The sequence below is a fragment of the Homo sapiens genome, chromosome 3 (genome assembly GCF_000001405.40).
Source record: "Homo sapiens chromosome 3, GRCh38.p14 Primary Assembly".
In the NCBI taxonomy this organism is placed as follows: domain Eukaryota; kingdom Metazoa; phylum Chordata; class Mammalia; order Primates; family Hominidae; genus Homo; species Homo sapiens.
Window position 1 is genome coordinate 80,313,396 of NC_000003.12, and position 2,059 is coordinate 80,315,454.

The 2,059-nt window shown below is 49.2% G+C and overlaps 1 annotated feature.

Annotated features, from left to right (window-relative positions):
* Positions 1,110-1,609: an enhancer, noted in NCBI's record as "H3K27ac-H3K4me1 hESC enhancer chr3:80363655-80364154 (GRCh37/hg19 assembly coordinates)". NCBI's record gives its function as "activates a minimal SCP1, AML or CMV promoter by ChIP-STARR-seq in naive H9 embryonic stem cells {active_cell/tissue: H9 hESC(naive)}" and the evidence as "EXISTENCE:reporter gene assay evidence [ECO:0000049][PMID:30033119]".

Genomic DNA, 2,059 nt, shown 5'->3' on the forward strand with positions numbered 1-2,059 from the left:
ATAATTGGAAGAGAAATAAGATTATTTTCAGACCAGCAAATGCCAAGGGATTTTGTTACAATAAGGCTTGCCTTACAAGAGATCCCAAAGGGAGTGCTAAACATTACCAGCTGCTACAGAAACACACTTACGTACATAGACCAGTGACACTATAAAGCAACCAACCAAACAAGTCTGCATAATAACCTGCTAATAACATGATGACAGGAACTCATTTGCACATATCAACATTAACTTTGAATATAAATAGGTGGAAGTCCCCCAATTAAAAGGCAGAGTGGCAAATTGGATAATGAAGCATGACTGAATGGTATGCTGTCTTCAAGAGACCCATCTCCCATGCAGTGACACGAAGAGGCTCAAAGTAAAGGGGTGGAGAAAAATCTAGCAAGCAAACAGAAAACAGAAGAAAAGAAGGGGTTGCTGTTCTAATTTAAGACAAAGTGGACTTTAAACCAGCAAAGATTAAAAAAGATGGAGAAGGGCATTGCATAATGGTAAAAGATGCAATTCCACAAGGAGACCTAAATAATCTTTAATATGTATGCACCCCAAACGGGAGCACCATATTCATAAAGCAAGTTCTTAGACACTTACAAAGAGACTTAGGCAGGCACACAATAATGATTGGAGACTTCAGTGCTTCACTGGCAGTATCAGAAAGGTCACTGAGGCAGAAAACTAATAAAGGTATTTAGGACCTGAACTCAATACTTGACCAAAAGAACCTAATAGATACATACAGAATGCTCCACCCAAAACCAGAAGAATATACGTTACCTTTTATTTGCACATGGCATATACCTTAAATTGACCATATAATCAGACATAAAACAATCCTCAGCAAATTCAAAAAATCTGAAATTATACCAACCACAGTCACAGACCACAGGACAATAAAAATAAAAATGAATCTTAAGGAAATTGACAGGTGAGAGCGTGCTGGCAGTCCTCACAGCCCTGGCTTGCTCTCGGCACCTCCTCTGCCTGGGCTCCCACTTTGGCGGCACTTGAGGAGCCCCTCAGCCCACCCCTGCACTGTGGGAGCCCCTTTCTGGGCTGGCCAAGGCTGGAGCCGGCTCCCTCAGCTTGCGAGGAGGTGTGGAGGGAGAGGCGCAGGCTTCCCCTGTGGTGCTTGTGGGCCAGCGTGAGTTTCGGGTGGGCGTGGGCTCCGCAGACGCTGCACTTGGAGCAGCCGGCCGGCCCCACCGGTACTGGGCAGTGAGGGGCTTAGCACCTGGGCCAGCAGCTGCTGTGCTTGATTTTTCGCCTGGTCTTAGCTGCCTCCCCACAGGGCAGGGCTCGGGACCTGCAGCCCGCCATACCTGAGCCTCCCCCACTCCGTGGGCTCCTGTGCTGCCCAAGCCTCCCCAATGAGAGCCGCCCCCTGCTCCACAGCGCTCAGTCCCATGGACCACCCAAGGGCTGAGGAGTGCGGGCGCACAGCGCGGGACTGGCAGGCAGCTCCACCTGCAGCCCCAGTGTGGGATCCACTGGGTTAGTGAAGCCAGCTGGGCTCCTGAGTCTGGTGGGGACGTGGAGAATCTTTATGTCTAGCTCAGGGATTGTAAATACACCAATCAGCACTCTGTATCTAGCTCAAGGTTTGTAAACACACCAATCAGCACCCTGTGTCTAGCTCAGGGTTTGTGAATGCACCAATCCACACTCTGTATCTAGCTACTCTGGTGGGGCCTTGGAGAACCTTTGTGTGGACACTCTGTATCTAGCTAATCTGGTGGGGACATGGAGAACCTTTGTGTCTAGCTCAGGGACTGTAAACGCACCAATCAGCACCCTGTCAAAACAGACCACTCAGCTCTACCAATCAGCAGGATGTGGGTGGGGCCAGATAAGAGAATAAAAGCAGGCTGTGGGAGCCAGCATTGGCAACCCACTCGGGTCCCCTTCCACACTGTGGAAGCTTTGTTCTTTTGCTCTTTGCAATAAATCTTGCTACTGCTTACTTTTTGGATCCACGCTGCCTTTATGAGCTGTAACACTCACCGTGAAGGTCTGCAGCTTCATTCCTGAAGCCAGCGAGACCACGAACCAACCA